The following is a 21,633-nucleotide window of genomic DNA, read 5'->3' on the forward strand; positions in this document are numbered from 1 at the left end:
TAAGGAGAATATTGACCTGCATGCAAAAGGAGGTAGAGTAAAAACTTTTCTCACTAGCAGAAAATAAGGGATGAAAAAATTATATATGTTCTAAAGTCTAATAATTAACATTAAAGTAATTAAATCAATTTTAAATGCCAGATGCTTACTCTGTTCTGTTTTAAATTCCAAGGAAAATGAAACAACCCTCAAAAGTACTTTAAGACTTTTACTGTTTCCCTCTAGATTACTCTGCATACCACATTAAGGGAAAAAGAATCACGATTATGTGTAAATTTTAAAATATTGAGTCCTTGTTGCATTGAATAGCAAATATAACTTTACAAGTAAAAATGGATTATAGGAGAGATAGTGACAAATATTGACTATTATTCCTAAGTTGGTCTTTAAATGAGTATATCACATATTGTTCCCAATGGAGATATCATAGGAGGGTCCAGGTTACAGACCAATGAAGGGCAGTGCCTAGGAAGCCTCTGCCACTACACTCACCTTTATAAGATTTGATTTTCTCTCCCCTAAAGACTGAAAGTGAATATGAAGAGACTTTCAAGCCATCATCAGTTGTGAGTACCTCTTCCACTTCTTGCGTTTCAACCAGCCAGAGGAAGGAAACATCAACTACAAGATATAGTGATCACAGTGTCACTTCCTCAACTCTGGCACAAATTAATGCTACTTCTTCAGGAATGACAGAAGAATTTCCTCCTCCCCCACCTGACGTACTTCAAACTTCAGTAGATGTGACAGCATTTTCCCAGTCCCCTGAACTGCCCAGTCCTCCTAGAAGACTACCAGTCCCCAAAGATGTATATTCCAAGCAAAGAAATTTGTATGAATTAAACCGTTTATATAAACACATCCATCCTGAGTTAAGAAAAAACTTAGAAAAAGATTATATCAGTGAAGTTTCTGAGATTGTTTCTAGTCAAATGAACTCAGGGAGTTCAGTCTCAGCAGATGTGCAACAAGCCCGGTATGTTTTTGAAAACACAAATGACAGTTCTCAAAAAGATCTGAACTCAGAAAGAGAATACTTGGAATGGGATGAAATTCTGAAGGGAGAGGTGCAGTCCATTAGATGGATCTTTGAGAATCAACCATTGGATTCCATCAACAATGGCTCTCCTGATGAAGGTGATATTTCCAGGGGCATTGCTGATCAAGAAATCATTGCTGGTGGTGATGTGAAATATACCACATGGATGTTTGAAACCCAACCCATCGACACACTTGGGGCTTATTCTTCTGACACTGTAGAAAATGCAGAGAAAATTCCTGAGCTAGCCAGAGGAGATGTCTGCACAGCTCGGTGGATGTTTGAAACAAGGCCATTGGACTCAATGAATAAAATGCATCAAAGTCAAGAAGAATCAGCGGTAACTATCAGTAAGGACATAACTGGGGGGGATGTCAAGACTGTGAGATACATGTTTGAAACTCAACATCTAGATCAACTTGGACAGCTTCATTCAGTGGATGAGGTTCATTTACTGCAGCTTAGGTCTGAGCTCAAAGAAATTAAGGGAAATGTTAAAAGAAGTATAAAATGTTTCGAAACTCAACCATTATATGTTATTAGAGATGGTTCGGGCCAAATGCTGGAAATTAAAACTGTTCACAGAGAAGACGTTGAAAAGGGAGATGTAAGAACAGCACGGTGGATGTTTGAAACACAGCCGTTGGACACAATTAACAAAGATATCACAGAAATTAAAGTTGTCCGAGGAATATCCATGGAAGAAAATGTCAAAGGTGGGGTGAGTAAGGCAAAGTGGTTATTTGAAACCCAACCTTTGGAGAAAATCAAAGAGTCAGAAGAGGTCATCATTGAAAAGGAAAAAATAATAGGTACAGATGTCTCCAGAAAGTGTTGGATGTTTGAAACCCAGCCATTAGACATTCTAAAAGAAGTTCCTGATGCAGATTCTCTACAACGTGAGGAGATAATAGGTGGTGATGTACAAACTACTAAGCATCTATTTGAAACACTTCCAATTGAAGCATTAAAAGACAGTCCTGATATAGGAAAGCTTCAAAAAATCACTGCCTCTGAAGAAGAAAAAGGGGATGTTAGGCATCAAAAATGGATTTTTGAAACCCAACCTCTGGAAGACATTAGAAAAGATAAAAAGGAGTACACACGAACAGTGAAACTTGAAGAAGTTGACAGAGGAGATGTGAAGAATTACACACATATCTTTGAATCAAACAATTTAATTAAATTTGATGCATCACATAAAATAGAGGTGGAAGGAGTTACAAGAGGTGCTGTAGAGTTAAATAAATCTCTCTTCGAGACAACACCACTGTATGCCATTCAAGATCCCCTTGGAAAATATCATCAAGTAAAGACAGTCCAGCAAGAAGAAATCGTAAGAGGTGATGTAAGAAGCTGTAGGTGGCTTTTTGAAACAAGGCCCATTGACCAGTTTGATGAAAGCATTCATAAATTTCAAATAATTAGAGGAATATCTGCTCAAGAAATACAGACTGGAAATGTGAAATCTGCCAAATGGTTGTTTGAAACCCAACCTCTTGATTCAATTAAATATTTTAGTGATGTGGAAGAAACAGAAAGTAAAACTGAACAAACTAGAGATATTGTTAAAGGGGATGTCAAAACCTGTAAATGGCTTTTTGAGACCCAGCCAATGGAGTCTCTTTATGAAAAAGTTTCGTTAATGACCAGCAGTGAAGAAATTCATAAGGGAGATGTCAAAACTTGTACTTGGCTCTTTGAAACTCAGCCACTTGATACCATAAAAGATGACTCTGAAACAGCAGTCAAATTGCAAACTGTAAAACAGGAGGAGATCCAAGGTGGGGATGTTCGTACAGCATGTTTTCTTTTTGAGACAGAAAATTTGGACAGCATACAAGGAGAAGAAGTGAAGGAAATCAAGCCTGTTGAAATGGATATACAAGCTGGAGATGTTTCCAGCATGAGGTATAAATTTGAAAATCAGTCCTTAGATTCTATAAGTTCTAGTTCAGAGGAAGTTTTGAAAAAGATCAAAACCTTAAAAACTGAAGATATTCAGAAAGGCAATGTTTTAAATTGTAGGTGGCTTTTTGAAAACCAACCAATTGATAAGATAAAAGAAAGCCAAGAAGGTGATGAATGTGTTAAGACGGTGACAGACATACAAGGTGGGGATGTAAGAAAGGGGTGCTTTATTTTTGAGACTTTTTCTTTAGATGAGATTAAAGAAGAATCTGACTATATCAGCACCAAGAAAACAATTACTGAAGAAGTAATACAGGGTGATGTAAAAAGCTACAGAATGCTCTTTGAAACCCAGCCACTCTATGCAATTCAAGACCGAGAAGGGTCCTATCATGAAGTGACCACAGTTAAAAAAGAAGAGGTAATTCATGGAGATGTGCGAGGAACAAGGTGGCTTTTTGAAACAAAGCCATTAGACTCTATTAATAAATCAGAAACTGTGTATGTTATTAAATCTGTCACACAAGAAGACATTCAGAAGGGAGATGTTAGTTCTGTCAGATACAGATTTGAAACTCAGCCACTGGATCAGATTTCTGAAGAATCACATAATATTATGCCCAGTATTGACCATATACAAGGTGGCAATGTAAAGACAAGTAGACAATTCTTTGAGTCTGAAAATTTTGATAAGAATAACTATATACGAACAGTAAGTGTCAATGAAATACAAAAGGGCAATGTTAAAACATCTACTTGGCTATTTGAAACCCACACTATGGATGAACTGAGAGGAGAAGGGTTAGAATATGAAAATATCAAGACAGTCACTCAGGAAGATGTGCAGAAAGGTGATGTTAAGCAGGCTGTGTGGCTTTTTGAAAATCGAACTTTCGATTCTATTATGGAAGCACATAAAGGTATCACAAAAATGACCAAGGAAGAAATCCCTCCTTCTGATGTCAAAACAACCACATGGCTCTTTGAAACAACACCACTTCATGAATTTAATGAAACTAGAGTAGAAAAGATAGAAATTATTGGCAAGAGCATTAAAGAAACCTTAGAAGATCTCTACTCTCAAAAAGTTATCCAGGCTCCTGGAATCATCATTGAAGCTGATGAAATAGGGGATGTTCGAATGGCAAAATACAAGCTAATGAACCAAGCATCTCCTGAGATACAGAAAGAAGAAATTATCAGGGCTGATCTCAGAAATATAATGGTGAACCTACTTTCCAAAAGGGACTGTACTGAAAGAGAGATTTTGATTAGTGAAGAAGAGAAGGGAAATGTTAATTTGACTAAAACTCAATTATTAAACAGATCAACTGAATTTCATGCTGAAAAAGAAGAGATAGTGAAAGGTGATGTACAACAAGCAATAAAAAACCTGTTCTCTGAGGAAAGATCTGTAAAGAAAGGCATCTTAATTCAGGAAGATGAAAAAGGAGATATTAACATGACTATCTATTGTCTTCTTCATGAAAATGATGGTGACACAATTGAGCGTGAAGAAGTAATAGGTGGTGATGTCAAACGTACCATTCATAATTTATTGTCTTCCACATCAAACAATAAAATATCTGAAAGGGCTAAAATTGATGCCTCTGAGAGAGGAAATGTTCAGTTTTTCACAACCTGCATAGAAGCTGGAGCTTTGGATTATCTGAAACAACTCCACACAGAGTCAAATGAAACACTGACAGCTAAGAAACAAGAAGGAGAGAAAGAAATCATTGGTGGTGATGTTGAAGGTACAAAACTGTTACTGAAGAAAAGGCAGTCTCTGGTTGAACGTACTGTTAGTGAAACTGACATCATCCCTGGAGATGTGCATAACACAGTTAAGGTTTTTATGACCGAGCCTCAGAGTACATTTGGTAAGATACCCAAAGAAGAGATTATAAAAGGTGATTTGACATCAACCCTAAATTCCCTCAGCCAGGCTGTAAATCAGAAAACAGTGACGAAAACAGAAGAAATTATAAAAGGTAACATGCTAGCCACACTCAAGTCACTTAAAGAATCAAGCCATCGATGGAAAGAATCTAAACAGCCTGATGCCATCCCTGGTGATATTGAAAAAGCTATTGAATGCCTTGAAAAAGCTACAAATACAAAGACAGAAATTCTGAAAAAGGAGCTTCTCAAAGATGACCTGGAAACATCACTAAGGTCTTTGAAAGAAGCACAAAGAAGTTTCAAAGAGGTACATAAAGAAGGTGTAATAAAAAAAGATGCTAAAGCTGTGATGGCAGGATCCTCGGGAGAGCAGAAAACAGATATTCATCAGGTTGCTGTCCAGAGGAACAAAAATAGTCTTCTTCAGCCAAAGCCAGGTCCATTTGAGCCAGCGGCCAAGTGGCAAGGGGGAGCAGATACTCTCAGTCAAACTATGGGGAAATCTTGCCATGGCAATTTAGTAGAAGAAAGAACTGAGGTTAATCTTCCAAAAGCCCCCAAAGGCACTGTAAAGATTGTCATAGATCGTGAACAAAACAATGATGCTCTGGAGAAAAGCCTTAGAAGACTATCTAATTCACACCATAAATCTAATGTTTTGGAATCAGGAGACAAAACGGGTGTCTGGACTGATACTACAGGAGAACAGCATCTTAGAGATGAATATATGAGCAGACAATTAACTTCAACTGTGTCAGTTAAGAATAATCTAACAACTAAAGAATCAGACAGGGCAGTGAGAGAGCTGAAGAAGGATGATGTCTTTAATTCCATCCAATCTGCTGGTAAAACCGTTGGAAAGCAACAGACATATGAACTGAGAAATGACCACCAGAAAATGGAGGGTTTTCATATAAAGAGTCCTAAAAAGACCAAAAATATTAAAATATTAACTGATACACAAAGCTCCAAGCCCAGTCCCACCCAGCATCCAGTCAGCATGCCAGTTGGAGGAACTTACGACCTTTCAGGGGACTTTCAGAAGCAAACTTTGTTAAAGCAAGAAACAAAATATTCTAATAAGGATATAAAGAAAAAGAATATAAACCTTCAACCAATGTGGCAGCTTTTGCCTGTAGAGCAAGACACATCCAATGTAACAGAAATGAAAGTCTCTGAAAAAAGTCACAATACATTTAAGGCAACCAACAAAAAGCGGGAGACTGATGTTCACTTGAAAAGCCAGGACTTTCTAATGAAAACAAATACTTCCACAGGCTTAAAAATGGCAATGGAAAGGTCCTTGAATCCAATCAACTTTAACCCTGAGAATAATGTAAAAGAAAGTGAGTGCCCCCTTCCACCTCCATCTCCACCTCCTCCACCACCTTCTAATGCATCATCTGAAATTGAATTTCCTCTTCCTCCTCCACCTCCTTTGATGATGTTTCCTGAAAAAAATGGGTTTCTTCCCTCACTGTCCACAGAGAAGATAAAGGCTGAATTTGAAAGTTTTCCAGGCCTCCCTCTTCCTCCACCTCCAGTAGATGAGAAATCTGAAAGAGAAAGTTCATCGATGTTTCTGCCGCCTCCTCCTCCTCCAACTCCATCTCAAAAGCCAGCACATCTCCTTTCCTCCTCTGCTCCGGAAAAGCACAGTGGAGACTTCATGCAACAATATTCCCAAAAAGAAGCCTCGAACTCTCAGAATTCTCAGGCTAAAATCATAACAGGAAAAACCGGTGTGTTGCCACCTCCCACATTGCCCAAACCCAAACTTCCCAAGCATATAAAAGATAATAAGAACGATTTTTCCCCCAAAGTTGAACTGGCAACCTCCCTGTCAGATATGGAATGTAAAATTACTACCTCAAAGGATCAGAAAAAAGTAATGGTGATGACCAGCAGTGAACACACGGAGACAAAGCAGAACGTTATTAGTAAGAGTCTTGATGAAAGAAAACAATTATCTATTGACTCTGCAAACTGTCTCTCACACACAGTTCCAGGAACTTCAGCACCCAGGAAAAAACAGATTGCGCCTCTTATAAAATCTCATTCATTTCCAGAGAGTTCAGGACAACAAAATCCAAAACCTTATATGAGAAAATTTAAGACACCTTTAATGATTGCTGAAGAAAAATATAGACAACAAAAAGAAGAAATTGAAAAACAGAAACAGGAGAGTTCTTACTACAACATTGTTAAAACTCAAAGCCAAAATCAACACATAACAGAGGTGGAAAAGGAAATGCCATTACAAAAAACCAATGAGGAGGTTTCCCTATCTGGAATTGATTCAGAATGCACTGTGGTTCAACCCAGCCCAGGCTCTCAAAGTAATGCTCGGATACTAGGAGTGTGTTCTGATAACCAACTCTCCACAACATCGCCAGAAACAGTCGCTGCCAAGAGGCTCCACCATGTTTTAGCAGCTTCAGAAGACAAAGATAAGATGAAAAAGGAAGTTTTACAAAGCTCAAGGGACATTATGCAATCCAAATCAGCTTGCGAAATTAAACAAAGTCACCAAGAATGTAGTACCCAACAAACACAACAGAAGAAGTATTTGGAGCAGTTGCACTTGCCCCAAAGCAAACCAATTTCCCCAAATTTCAAAGTTAAAACCATCAAACTTCCAACTCTAGATCATACATTAAATGAAACAGACCACAGCTATGAAAGTCATAAACAGCAATCTGAGATTGATGTTCAAACCTTTACCAAAAAACAATATCTGAAAACCAAGAAAACTGAAGCAAGCACTGAATGTAGTCATAAGCAATCTCTGGCTGAAAGACATTATCAGTTACCTAAGAAGGAGAAAAGAGTGACAGTACAATTGCCTACAGAATCCATACAGAAGAACCAGGAAGATAAGCTCAAGATGGTTCCCAGGAAGCAAAGAGAATTTAGCGGATCTGACAGAGGGAAACTTCCAGGAAGTGAAGAAAAAAATCAGGGACCATCAATGATTGGTCGAAAAGAAGAGAGATTAATAACTGAAAGAAAACACGAACATCTGAAGAATAAATCAGCACCAAAGGTCGTCAAGCAAAAGGTTATCGATGCACATCTTGATTCACAGACTCAGAATTTTCAGCAAACACAAATACAGACCGCTGAAAGTAAAGCTGAACATAAAAAATTGCCCCAGCCATATAATAGTCTGCAGGAAGAAAAATGTCTCGAAGTCAAGGGCATACAAGAGAAACAAGTCTTCTCTAATACTAAAGATTCAAAGCAAGAGATTACACAGAACAAATCTTTCTTTTCCTCTGTGAAAGAATCCCAGCGGGATGATGGAAAAGGTGCCTTAAATATAGTGGAATTCTTGAGAAAACGTGAAGAACTGCAACAGATTTTGTCGAGAGTGAAACAGTTTGAAGCAGAGCCAAATAAAAGTGGCCTTAAAACATTTCAGACACTATTAAATACTATCCCAGGATGGCTGATAAGTGAAGATAAGAGAGAATATGCAGTTCACATTGCCATGGAGAATAATTTAGAAAAAGTAAAAGAAGAAATAACACATATTAAAACTCAAGCGGAAGATATGCTTGTGTCCTATGAAAATATAATTCAGACAGCCATGATGTCCTCCAAAACAGGAAAACCGGGAAATAAACCCACTAGTCTTGATGAAACATCATCCAAAGTATCTAATGTTCATGTCAGCAATAATAAAAATAGTGAACAGAAAGAAAATAAAATTGCCAAAGAGAAAACAGTACAGCACCAAGTAGCAGCTCATCATGAAGCAACTGTTCGTAGTCACGTGAAAACCCATCAGGAAATTAAACTTGATGATAGCAACATTCCTCCTCCCTCTTTAAAAACACGCCCACCGTCACCAACTTTTATCACAATAGAATCTACTGCCCGACGAACAGAAAACCCTACTAAGAACGAGCTTTCTCAGTCCCCTAAAAAGGACAGTTATGTTGAACCCCCACCAAGAAGGCCCATGTCGCAAAAATCTGAAATTCACAGAGCAAACACTTCCCCTTCTCCACCCAGGAGTCGCTCTGAACAACTTGTCAGACTCAAAGACACCACTGCAAAGTTATCCAAAGGGGCCATCCCATGTCCAGCAGCAACCCCGGTTCCAATTGTAGAGAAGAGGTCTGAAATCATCATGTCTCCTGCAACACTTCGTCGTCAAATTAAGATAGAAACTCGTGGTAGGGACTCTCCACCTACAATCACAATACCAGTAAATATAAATCATGCTGCTAGTGGTTCCTTCAGAGAATCTGTGGACGCTCAAGAGGAAATCAGGAAAGTGGAGAAGAGAGCTACTTATGTTCATAAAGATGGACTAAATTCCACTGATCACATGGTGCCCGACACTGAAAGTTATGATGCAGTTGAAATCATCCGCAAGGTTGCAGTGCCTCCTCGCCTGTCAGAGCACACACAGAGATATGAAGCGGCCAACCGAACTGTTCAAATGGCTGAAAATTTCGTGAATGACCCTGAAAATGAAATAAACAGATGGTTCAGGGAATTTGAGCATGGCCCAGTTTCTGAAGCAAAGTCAAATAGAAGAGTTTATGCAAAGGGAGAAACAAACCATAACATACAACAAGAAAGTCGTACATTTTGTAAGGAGGAATTTGGATTAACATCTTTAGGAAACACGAGTTTTACAGACTTTTCTTGCAAACATCCTAGAGAACTGCGAGAAAAGATTCCTGTTAAGCAGCCCAGGATCTGCTCTGAAACCAGGTCTCTAAGTGAACATTTCTCAGGCATGGATGCATTTGAGAGTCAAATTGTTGAGTCGAAGATGAAAACCTCTTCATCACATAGCTCAGAAGCTGGCAAATCTGGCTGTGACTTCAAGCATGCCCCACCAACCTATGAGGATGTCATTGCTGGACATATTTTAGATATCTCTGATTCACCTAAAGAAGTAAGAAAAAATTTTCAAAAGACGTGGCAAGAGAGTGGAAGAGTTTTTAAAGGCCTGGGATATGCAACCGCAGATGCTTCTGCAACTGAGATGAGAACCACCTTCCAAGAGGAATCTGCATTTATAAGTGGTAAATGAGCTTGCAATGTGTTAAAGAAGATTAACCATTTAAAGGCATGTGTTCCATAGCCAAAATGATGTACAGTTAAAAAGAGTGCGTGGAAACAACCAAACAATATAACCTAAAACTAACAGCTTCCCATGTATGCTTATAGACTCTTTATATGCTTGCTTTTACAACATTCTTTTCACAAAAGCATAGAGTATGATTTACTTGCACTGTGTGAGAATAACAAATACTATTATACAGATTACTGGGACATATTTGTCAAGGTAAATAAGGCTTTGGATAAAGCAACAGGTATAGCAATAATTTTATTTCATGCAATTATTCTAGACAATAATAAATAATATCCTTTGGCCTAATATTGACATATTTTTAACTGCCAGGTTTAAATGATATTTGCATTGAGTTCAATACAGACTGATAGAAGTCTGAGACACAATTTACATTCTTCATGTGTGCTTTAGTATTTTTATTGATCTGTATCTCTGACAAAAGTGTGGGTGTGGAATTAGACCTTTTATATATTCAACTATTGCTACTGAGTTGGATAGAGTTAGTTTTCTCTGATGCCACATTTTTTTCTAACTGATTTTTTTCGCTTTTCTAAAAAATAAACTAAATCACTGCTCAATCAACCTCATTCACAAATGAGCGTAAACAATGCATTTAAAAATTTTGATTTTATTTGGAAGGAGGGAGGTTTAAATCATATGGACTTAGTACATGATTTTTAACATCAAAGAACAGCTCATTTCCCTACTTCTTGCAATTAATGAGGCTTCATGATAAAAGAATTTTATATAATTAATGTGCATCATTAGTTTAGTCCATTCTTTTAGACAGATTGAAAGAAATAGCAAGCTTAAAAATAAAAACTGCTGAAACTAATAATTATGCCTCCATCATATTTGCAACATATGTGTCTAGTTTATCAGGTTAATATGGTTCTTAATGTGCTTGCTTCTGGCATAATTAAGCAAAGCTGTCTAATTAATTTCAAATACTCAGCTTCTGTTAAGATAGCTCAAAAACACATAGAACATACAAAGAAACTTGTGATAAACATAAAAATGTGTCCTCTACTAGAACCAAATAAGCAAAGGAGTTCACTCAGTGGCCCAGATTGACCATCTAGGCACTAAAGTAGATATAATTATTTGTATAATGGAACCTGAGCATATTTTCTTTTATAAATAACTAATACCAAAGCTTAGTCATTCTCACAGGATCGCTGTGAGGACAAAAAGCAATTCTGAAGTGAAAGTTCTGTGTTAGTTTTAAACCACTATACAAACACTGGTTAGTAATAGAACCACTATTATTCATAGAGGCTAACATTTACAGGAAAGCCACAGGAAGTGAGCATAGGTGCTTTAGAGGAGCAAGAAAAGATGTAGGAAAACTACATAAGCAGATGCGAGAATCCAAAAAGCTCCACAATCTAAAGCCAGTTAGATTGAGGACAAATGACCCTGAGCATTTTACTGTGTTCAGGAGTCTCATTGCATTACAATTAAGAGTTGGTATCTTACAGTCAACTCTAAGTCATCAAGAAAATATTGAAGCAAATACAGTGTCCTTGGCTTAAAAAACATATGTATTTTAGAAAGATCTATCTAAAATGCTTTAAGAAGTAAAAACTTTTGACCAGCTTAGGTACAAGCCTTTATATATAGGGAAAACTCAATTACCTACAATGATAAGTTATCTCAGAGCTCCCCATTGCTGAGTATTTTATATGTATATATATATAAAAAATATACTCACATATATGCACATATATATGTTTGTAATGTACTTATATGTCTAATGAACATATTTTACTCATGTATGTTTTTTTAAATCATAAATGTCTACTCGTACAATCTATAAATGGTAGAAGCACTAGAGTAATGTAGACCATCCTAGCAGACCGTTAAACCTGATGATAGGTTAGTCTCTGTCCAGAGAAACATCATAAGGACAGTAGTCTTAGAGCTTTTCTACTTTAACCGCATGGCCAGTTAATATGTGTTTTTGTTTTGTTATGTTTTTACAATATGATTGAAGATAACACTACAGAAGGCTTTGTAAATTTTTATTTTTAGAAGCTGCTGCTCCAAGACAAGGAAATATGTATACTTTGTCAAAAGACAGTTTATCCAATGGAGTGCCTAGTGGCAGACAAGCAGAATTTTCATAAGTCCTGCTTCCGATGCCACCATTGCAACAGTAAACTAAGGTAAAATGTTTAATTGTCTTTGCCACAAATATTCCAGGAGCTGCACTCTATGTATAGCCTCATATCTCTAGGAGGATGCACATTTTTCCAGATCTTGTTGCTGCGTCAGTTAACACAACCACACAGGGAGATTTGCTCATGTTCTGTGATGTATTTCTGCGACCTTTTTCCTTTAGGAATTTTACTTTTCTAATCAAATCCAAAAGCATCCCTTTTGTCTGAACACAAAAATCACACAGATGAGTAAAATTAAGAGTTACTCTGCAAATCAAGATTTTTAAGTTAGTGTGTTAGTCTAAAGTCTAGACTCCAGATCAGGAGGTAGCACACATTTTCTGTTAAGGTCTAGATCATAAGTAATTTTGGCTTTGCAGGCCGTACTGCTTCTGTCACTACTCAATTTCTATTAGAGAGCAAGAGCAGCCACAGATAACTAAACAAATGGGTGTGGTTGTAAATAAATGGGCTTGGCTGTGTTCCAATAAAACTTCATATACCAAAACAAGTGGTGGGTAGGTTAGAATTTACCTGTCTTTGAGCTAGACTAAGTTTTTAAAAATGAAATTGAAATTTAGAAAAATATCAGTGACAGGTAAGAGAAAAACTCTGTTTTTTCTCTGGAGCAAACAGAAACACCCTATCCACACAGTTAAAATGCATTCATTTTCCAAAACTCTTGAAGTAAATGCATTTAACTGAATGTGACATTTGGTGTGACTGTAGTCTGAGATGCTAAAATTGATTTTTTTTTTTTTTGGCTAAATCTAATGTGCATCTCTCACACTATATTTTTTCTGACTTTAATTGACAATGTCGAACACCCTCATGGCAACATTTTTTTCCCTTGGTTTCCATAACAACAGAGTATAATGGCTTTTCCCCTACTCTTTGTGTGCTCCTTCTCAGGCACCTGTGTGGGGGACTCTCTGTCCATTACCAAGATGTAAGAGGTCCTCACAATTATGTTATGGGAATTTATTCTTCTCAACGTTTCTCTTCTTTCTAGTGAATCACATCCACTCCCATGATTTAAATAATCTATGTGGTAATGACTCTGAAGTCTGTACTGCTAGGCCAAATCTCTCTGTGCATCAGATGCTTATATCTCAATGACTGATATACTTCTCCAATTAGATTTCTCATAAGTACAGCAAACTCAATATGCCCCATTTTCTTCTATCTAAATTCCTTCTTTAACTTACAGTCTTTATGCTACTGTATCAGTAAATGACATTAACATTAACTCAGTGACCAAAGCATGGAGTTATCTTTGGCTCCTTCCTTTCCTTCATTCCCTACATTCAAGCCGTCACCAAGTCCTGCAATTTCTGCCCCATAAATACCTCTTAAGCTATATACTTTTCTCCATTCCCATAGCAAGTATCATCTATTAGCACCACTAATTTCATTATCAAAACATTTAAAAATTACATCTGCCCTCCCCATTTTATAAATTATTGTACCACATCTTCAGTTTCAGATCATATAGCCACTACATACCGTGTTATCTCCCTCTTTGCCCTTATTTCATCTTAGTTTTCAGGTTGCAAGATATTAATGCCCACCACCAATGCTTACCTTGATGTTTCTGCAGTTGTTCTGATATTAAAGCTTGGTTTCTAGTAGACTCTTCTAAACTCTTCATGGAAACAATATTCGTTGAATTCTTACATGCTGATAACAATTTGTCTGTGACCTTTATAACAAAAAGTCAGTTTTGCTGAAATTAAAATCTTTGGCTTATACTTTCATTGTATTCTTTGATACATTATTTTATTTTCTTCTGGCATAAAGTGTTGGAATAGCTTGATAACGATCTAATTTTATTTTCCTTATAAGATGTATATTTTTTCTTAAATATACCCACAGATTTTTTTCTTTTTATTATTTAAAATCTAGCAATTTTACTAGATTAGTTCTTGGCATTGGTCATTCTTCACTAGTGTCAGTTACCCAGTGTGCTCTTTCTGTATGTTGTTGCATGCTTTTTTGTATCAAGAAAGTTTGTTTTAATTATAACTATTTAATATTTAATCTGTTTTATTATATAGTTTTTTCTTCAAGAATTCCTATTATCTATACCTTGAATGTTTTTTGCCTATTTTTATTATCTGTCTCTTTCTCTCAAATTCTTTTCATATTTATTTCTTTCTGATTATTGAAAAAGTTGTTTTCATTCTTCTGTTTCTCTTAAGCCACTTTTTATTGTGTTTATTTGCTCTTGTATTTCTTTTAGTTTAGTTTTGTTGCTGATATTTTTATCTTTTATTTCTATTTTTTCTGATTTCTGGCACCTCACTTATGAGATTTTAAATTCTGATTCATGATGTTCTTTCAGGTCTTTTATCATGTTCTTAATGTCTTTTAATTCATTTTGAAGTCATAGGTTAAATTTTTGATATATTTTTAGGGCATGTTTTTCTGGCATGTTTTCATTATCTACAGGGATATTATAATGCCCTTTGCACTTTTATTTTCTTTTAATAACTTCATATATTATTTACCTTGGTACATTTCTGTTTCTCATTTTTATGTAAAATTAGTTTTCCCAAACCTTAGAAGGATAAAAATCAGGATGGTTTTTCTAACTTCACAGAGCTACCTCTTTTAGTTTTCATATGCTGATCAAGAAAATAAGGCAGCTTGATTTCCAGAATTCCCTGGCTTGGCTCCTCTTCTCCATATTTTTCAGAACCTTCTCTTTCATTTCTGTAATCATTATCCTGCTCAATCTTGATTCTACTCTCCTATTTTTTCTCACTTTGGGATTCTGTTTAAAAGGGGAGCCCAGTTTTAGGAGTTCAACCTCACTAGCCTCTTCAAGTCTTCCTTACCACAGGGACCTTGCACTCATTGTCTATTGGAGATCACAAATCTCCTCAAAGTTTCAGCTGCTGTTCTCTGATTGGCATGTGATACTTTCCAGGAAATATTAGTTGGTTATTTTGTGGTCTCATATTTTCAGGTCCATCAGACATCTTCCTTGCTCCCTCTGCTATCACCAATACAGATGAGACCATCATGCTGGCCTTGTGACTGTTGGTGGTTTCTCCTTAGTTCTTTGTATTTTGATGTTGAGGGGGCTATCTTGTCACTTCATTTAGTTGTAAATGTTCCCCATGGGTTTTAAGTTTTGCTATCTTGTTGATGTATCTGTTTTTATGTGTAGATTCATAGATATTTCGAAAACTATGCTCCTGCCTCTGACTAGAGTTCATTTTAATTTTAAATCACTCAATTTGTTAATCTCCTTAAAGAGGCCACATAAGCAATTGTTAGGCACACCTTCCAGCTCGTTCAAAATCCAGTTAACAAAGAAGCTCATATTGTTGATTTGTATGTGTTTGCTACTCAGGATTTATTGGAAATTACAACGCCTCACATAAATCATTGAATTAGCACAAGTTCAGTCCTATCACTCTGCACCATGTATAACCATATGTGCATTACCCTATAATACCTATTATGCCAATACCTGACACACATCATAAAATTCTAAACACTGCAAGACATACATCATATAAAGTATTGGTGGTAATATTATCTAACAGAAATGTTCAACTAATAGGGCCATTCCCATTGCTAGTAACTTAAGTTTACTAGTCTGTAACTCATTGAAATAATTAATCCCCAATTCCCTATGAACTTACAGTAAATACGAACTGCTAAGTGTTCTTTTTCTTTTTGGCAGTTTGGGAAATTATGCATCACTTCATGGACAAATATACTGTAAACCTCACTTTAAACAACTTTTCAAATCCAAAGGAAATTATGATGAAGGTTTTGGACATAAGCAGCATAAAGATAGATGGAACTGCAAAAACCAAAGCAGATCAGTGGACTTTATTCCTAATGAAGAACCAAATATGTGTAAAAATATTGCAGAAAACACCCTTGTACCTGGAGATCGTAATGAACATTTAGATGCTGGTAACAGTGAAGGGCAAAGGAATGATTTGAGAAAATTAGGGGAAAGGGGAAAATTAAAAGTCATTTGGCCTCCTTCCAAGGAGATCCCTAAGAAAACCTTACCCTTTGAGGAAGAGCTCAAAATGAGTAAACCTAAGTGGCCACCTGAAATGACAACCCTGCTATCCCCTGAATTTAAAAGTGAATCTCTGCTAGAAGATGTTAGAACTCCAGAAAATAAAGGACAAAGACAAGATCACTTTCCATTTTTGCAGCCTTATCTACAGTCCACCCATGTTTGTCAGAAAGAGGATGTTATAGGAATCAAAGAAATGAAAATGCCTGAAGGAAGAAAAGATGAAAAGAAGGAAGGAAGGAAGAATGTGCAAGATAGGCCGAGTGAAGCTGAAGACACAAAGAGTAACAGGAAAAGTGCTATGGATCTTAATGACAACAATAATGTGATTGTGCAGAGTGCTGAAAAGGAGAAAAATGAAAAAACTAACCAAACTAATGGTGCAGAAGTTTTACAGGTTACTAACACTGATGATGAGATGATGCCAGAAAATCATAAAGAAAATTTGAATAAGAATAATAATAACAATTATGTAGCAGTCTCATATCTGAATAATTGCAGGCAGAAGACATCTATTTTAGAATTTCTTGATCTATTACCCTTGTCGAGTGAAGCAAATGACACTGCAAATGAATATGAAATTGAGAAGTTAGAAAATACATCTAGAATCTCAGAGTTACTTGGTATATTTGAATCTGAAAAGACTTATTCGAGGAATGTACTAGCAATGGCTCTGAAGAAACAGACTGACAGAGCAGCTGCTGGCAGTCCTGTGCAGCCTGCTCCAAAACCAAGCCTCAGCAGAGGCCTTATGGTAAAGGGGGGAAGTTCAATCATCTCTCCTGATACAAATCTCTTAAACATTAAAGGAAGCCATTCAAAGAGCAAAAATTTACACTTTTTCTTTTCTAACACCGTGAAAATCACTGCATTTTCCAAGAAAAATGAGAACATTTTCAATTGTGATTTAATAGATTCTGTAGATCAAATTAAAAATATGCCATGCTTGGATTTAAGGGAATTTGGAAAGGATGTTAAACCTTGGCATGTTGAAACAACAGAAGCTGCCCGCAATAATGAAAACACAGGTTTTGATGCTCTGAGCCATGAATGTACAGCTAAGCCTTTGTTTCCCAGAGTGGAGGTGCAGTCAGAACAACTCACGGTGGAAGAGCAGATTAAAAGAAACAGGTGCTACAGTGACACTGAGTAAAATATCTATGGCCACTGACAGTCCACACTTAGGCACTGAGAGATATTGATGTTCTGAAATAAGATTTTATGAATTTGGATACCCTTTTGAGGAACTTGATGTAAACATGGTGTTCAGAAATCTCGTGTCTATCTCAATGGGATATTTCTTGTATTACACCTTGTCATTTTTTTCACAATTTATTTACATCTACTTTTGTTTGAACTGGAATGAAGAGATGAAACACTATGGATATGTTTTCCATTCAAATGGCACTTTAGCATATTGTTCTGTTTTCCTGTAAAACATCATGGGTGTGATTTTTATACTGCTGCTGCTTGTCACAATTATTATAACTTCTCTGTAATTTCCTCTGAAATAAAATTGAATCACCTGAGGTGCAAACCAAAATACTTCTGTAACTTTTTTTGATATATACTGTCATTCTAAGTACATATACTCCTTGTGACTTGGGAAGTATTTGTCTTGAGGCAAGTATTTACCACCCACACTAAAATAATGCTGGAAAAAATAAAATACTAAACTGAAGGCACAGTATTATTAGAAAGTGTAACATTTTCATTTTCTCTTTTACTCTACATTTTAAAGATACGAGGGTTATTGTTCTTGAAATAATTACCTATATTAAATTATCATAGAATGTGTCTATAAACATTTGACGAAAAATGTTGATTTTCCTCCAGAATAATGTGAAGTCCATACTCAGAAATTAACTAGAAAGGTTTTAGACATTACTTAAATAAATTATTCACATTGCATTTGTATTGCTTGCTCTGTGTAATGGATAAGTATAACAATCATATCACTACAGTTTGTCAGGTTTTCTTCTTATCATATTTGATGAATATTAAGTTTTTCTGTTATGAAAACATATTCCTCTAAAATTTGGCTTCTAAATTTTCTACTGCCTTTGTTCTTCCTCAAATAAATTTTATGATTCTGAAAAAAAATGAACATAAATAAGTGGCTTTGCATAAATTTGTAGTGTACATATATGAAACAGGACTTATCCCATATTCTCCTACGTAAACACAAACTATTGACATTCTATAAATATAAAACCAAAATGCAATCTTGGAAACTATTTCTTTTCAGAAAGACTAACAAATTCCCTCTTGCTAGTATGTTCTTAATAGATATCTAAGACCTACATTGCATTAGTTCCCTAGGGCTTACATAATTAAATATCACAGACTGGGTAGCTTAAACAACAAAAAATATATTTTCTCACAGTTCAGAAAGGTGGAAGTACAGGGTCAAGTTGAAGATAGGCTTGGTTTCTCCTGAGGCCTCTCTCCTTGGCTTGCCAATAGTCACCTTGTTGAGGTCCACACATAGTCTTCCCTCTGAGCACTCACACTCCTAGTGTCTCTTTCTCTTCTTATAAGAGTACCAGTCCTTTTGGACTAGGAACCACTCATTGGACTTCATTTAACCTTACTTGCCTTTTTAATGGATGTATTTCCAAATATAGTCATATTGGGGTTTAGGGCTTCAACATATGAGCTTTGTGGGAACACAGTTCAGTTCATAACAAACACATACTTTTACCCGATTAAATGAAATACTATGAAAGTCTAGCAAGAAAATGGCCAGAGCTACAGAAGTAAATTTTTTGTTTAAACTGAATTACTGCACTTTACCCTTCAAATATTCTGAATGACACAGCATTATTTCTATAATCATTTATAGTAAGATAACACAATAGTTTTCATGCAGAAAGAAATAATTCGTGAAAACTCATGACATAGTATTACTGTATAGTTTCTTAGTGTCAGTGATCCTTTTAAAGAATGTGACTCTTGCTTTACAAAGGTCCTCTTGTTGGACTCTTCCTACTGAATCTTGGTAGCCTAGTCCCCTCTTCAATTATGGTAAAATTTAAGATTAAAAGTAGCTGCTGTGCACACCAGGGAGAACAATGAAAATAATGATTGTTCTGATTTTTCATTTAATCAACAAGCAATTTTGTGCCCTCATCTTTTTTTAAAAAAAATTTTTAGGTACATAGTAGGTATGTATATATGTATGCAGTACATGAAATGTTTTGATACAGGCATGCAATGCGAAATAAATACATCACAAAAAATGGCGTATCCATCCCCTCAAGTATTTATCCATTGAGTTTCAAATAATCCAATTATACTCCTTAAATTATTTTAAAATGTACAGTTAAGTTATTATTGACTATAGTCACCCTGTTGTACTATCAAATAGTAGGTCTTATTCATTTTTTCTAATTTTTCATACCCATTAACCATCCCCCCTTCCTGCTACTACCCTTCCCAGCCTCTGGTAACTATCTTCTACTCTCTATGTCAATGAGTTCAATTGTTTGATTTTTAGATCCCACAAATAAGTGAGAACATGTGATGTTTTTCTTTCTGTGCCTGGCTTATTTTACTTAACATAATGACCTCCAGTTCCATCCATGTTGTTGCAAATGACTGGATATCATGCTTTTATATGGCTAAATAGTACTCCATTGTGTATATGTAACATATTTTCTTTCAAGAAAACATTTTTAAAAAATTTTTAATCAGAAAGAGGCATTGTATTATGATTATTGGCTGCATCACCTTTCTTGAATGACATGTAGGAGTTTACAAATTCAAATATGCAAATACAATTTTATTTAGTAATGGTTTCGCTCTAATTATAACAAAATCTTCCAGCTAAATAGCAAGCTTTAGGATCTAAAATGTAGCTAAACACACAAATCAAAAATTCAGTGAAGTTTTCTTATTGTTGCAGTCAGTGTATTATTTTTCTAAAGCTGTCATAAGTAAGTACCACAGACTGAGTGACCAAACAGAAATTTATTTTCTCACAATTCTGCAAGTCGGAAAAATCTGATATCAAGGTGTTGGCCAGCTTGGTTTCTTCTGAGGCCTCTCTACTTGGCTTGTAGATAGTCATCTTCTTTCTGTGTCTTCCATGGCCTTCCTCTATATGTGTCTATGTTCCAATTTCTTATAATGTTCCAACTCATATTGGAGTAGGGCCCAGCCTCATGACCTCATTTTACTTTAATTACTTCTTGAAAGACCCTATCTCCTTAAAGAGCTGAATTCTGAGATGCTGTGGCTTAGGATTTCACCATATGAATTTGCGGGGAACACAATTCAGCCCATAACTGGTAGTAACCATGTTTAATCTTTAGGGTTTTTTAAAAAATACATGGCTATTAATGTTATGTAACAACTTCCCATAATCTTTTCTTGGGATTTACGTCACAGAACTATGTAATATATGATTTGTGTTGTAAAAATTAATATTTCCATAAACAAAATTATGTTATAAAGGAATGAAGATGGATCCATGATTGACCAAAAGCTGTTCCACAGGAGGCTGTGTGATGGCAGAGCATAGCATATAAGGGGTTTTGCATTATTTATTCAAGACTAGACCTTCCAATGAATCTTGTAAAAATGTTCTATTTCCCATAAAATTGTGCTGAATTGTCTTTTTTGCAGCTTCCACACAATCAATCCTTGCAACAGATTTGGGGCTCTGGGCAACACATTCTTTGGATTGGGACAATAGTTTTCTCACAGCAACACATTCTTTGGATTGGGACAATGGTTTTCTCAAATTACAATAAAACTGACAAATGCAAACTTACCACCCACTCCCTAATGCACAACCATTTTACGCATCGGGAATATTTTCTCCCAAGCTAACAATTTTCTATAAACATCTCTAGAATAATTTCTAAAGACATATTAATTTTTCAAGAAACTGAAAAATAGAAAAACAATACTTTCTCTGCTGTGTTTTGATAGTTACTGACTACTGGTTACTATCCAATTGGGAAATGGAAAATTTTTTCATTGCCAAGAAAAAGAACTTACAGAAAGATAATCACAGATGTTAAAGTAAAAGAGAAGTGCAATACATTTTTTTCTTCCTGGAAATGTTACTGAGAACTGAGAGTGACTTCTAAATCTAATGTAAAAGTTTTGAATTCTGAAGGTATTAATGATAATACGAAATCTTACGGTAAAAAAATCAAATGTAATGGAGATCAGAAATAGGCAGCAGATACAATATTTATATTCAAAATAAGAGCCATGAGAACATGTGAGAAGTGCTGAAGAGTACTAAGCCTCAACCCTCTAGAAATCAACTTTAATAGAAGACATGAAACATTTTTTGGTAAATATTGTCTAAAAATGATTTAACCTCAATAATGATGGAGTCCTTTAAAAGTCTAATTTAAGCTACCTGACATTTACTGTGGATGTTTTTCCCAAAAGATATTATGAGAAATTTTAAAACTTTATATATTTGTATGCAAATGAAGTGGCAGAG

General features: G+C 35.8%; 1 protein-coding gene across 6 annotated transcripts in view; it reads left to right on the forward strand.

Annotated features, from left to right (window-relative positions):
- XIRP2 (xin actin binding repeat containing 2) overlaps window positions 1-17,709 on the forward strand; it is a 371,274-nt gene extending 353,565 nt beyond the window's left edge. For 3 of the 6 annotated variants that reach the window (NM_001199143.2, NM_001079810.4, NM_001199145.2), the window contains 2 exons: window positions 11,988-12,121; window positions 15,813-17,709. In NM_001199143.2, the coding sequence (NP_001186072.1) occupies window positions 11,988-12,121; window positions 15,813-17,319 (1,641 nt within the window). In that variant the 3' untranslated portion in view covers window positions 17,320-17,709. Of the gene's footprint in view, window positions 1-524; window positions 9,904-11,987; window positions 12,122-15,812 lie in introns of those variants that run through there. The other 3 variants (NM_152381.6, NM_001199144.2, XM_017003309.2) reach the window with 2 other exon arrangements.
- Window positions 17,710-21,633: the final 3,924 nt, after the last annotated feature.

This window comes from Homo sapiens, chromosome 2, assembly GCF_000001405.40.
Source record: "Homo sapiens chromosome 2, GRCh38.p14 Primary Assembly".
In the NCBI taxonomy this organism is placed as follows: Eukaryota; Metazoa; Chordata; class Mammalia; order Primates; family Hominidae; genus Homo; species Homo sapiens.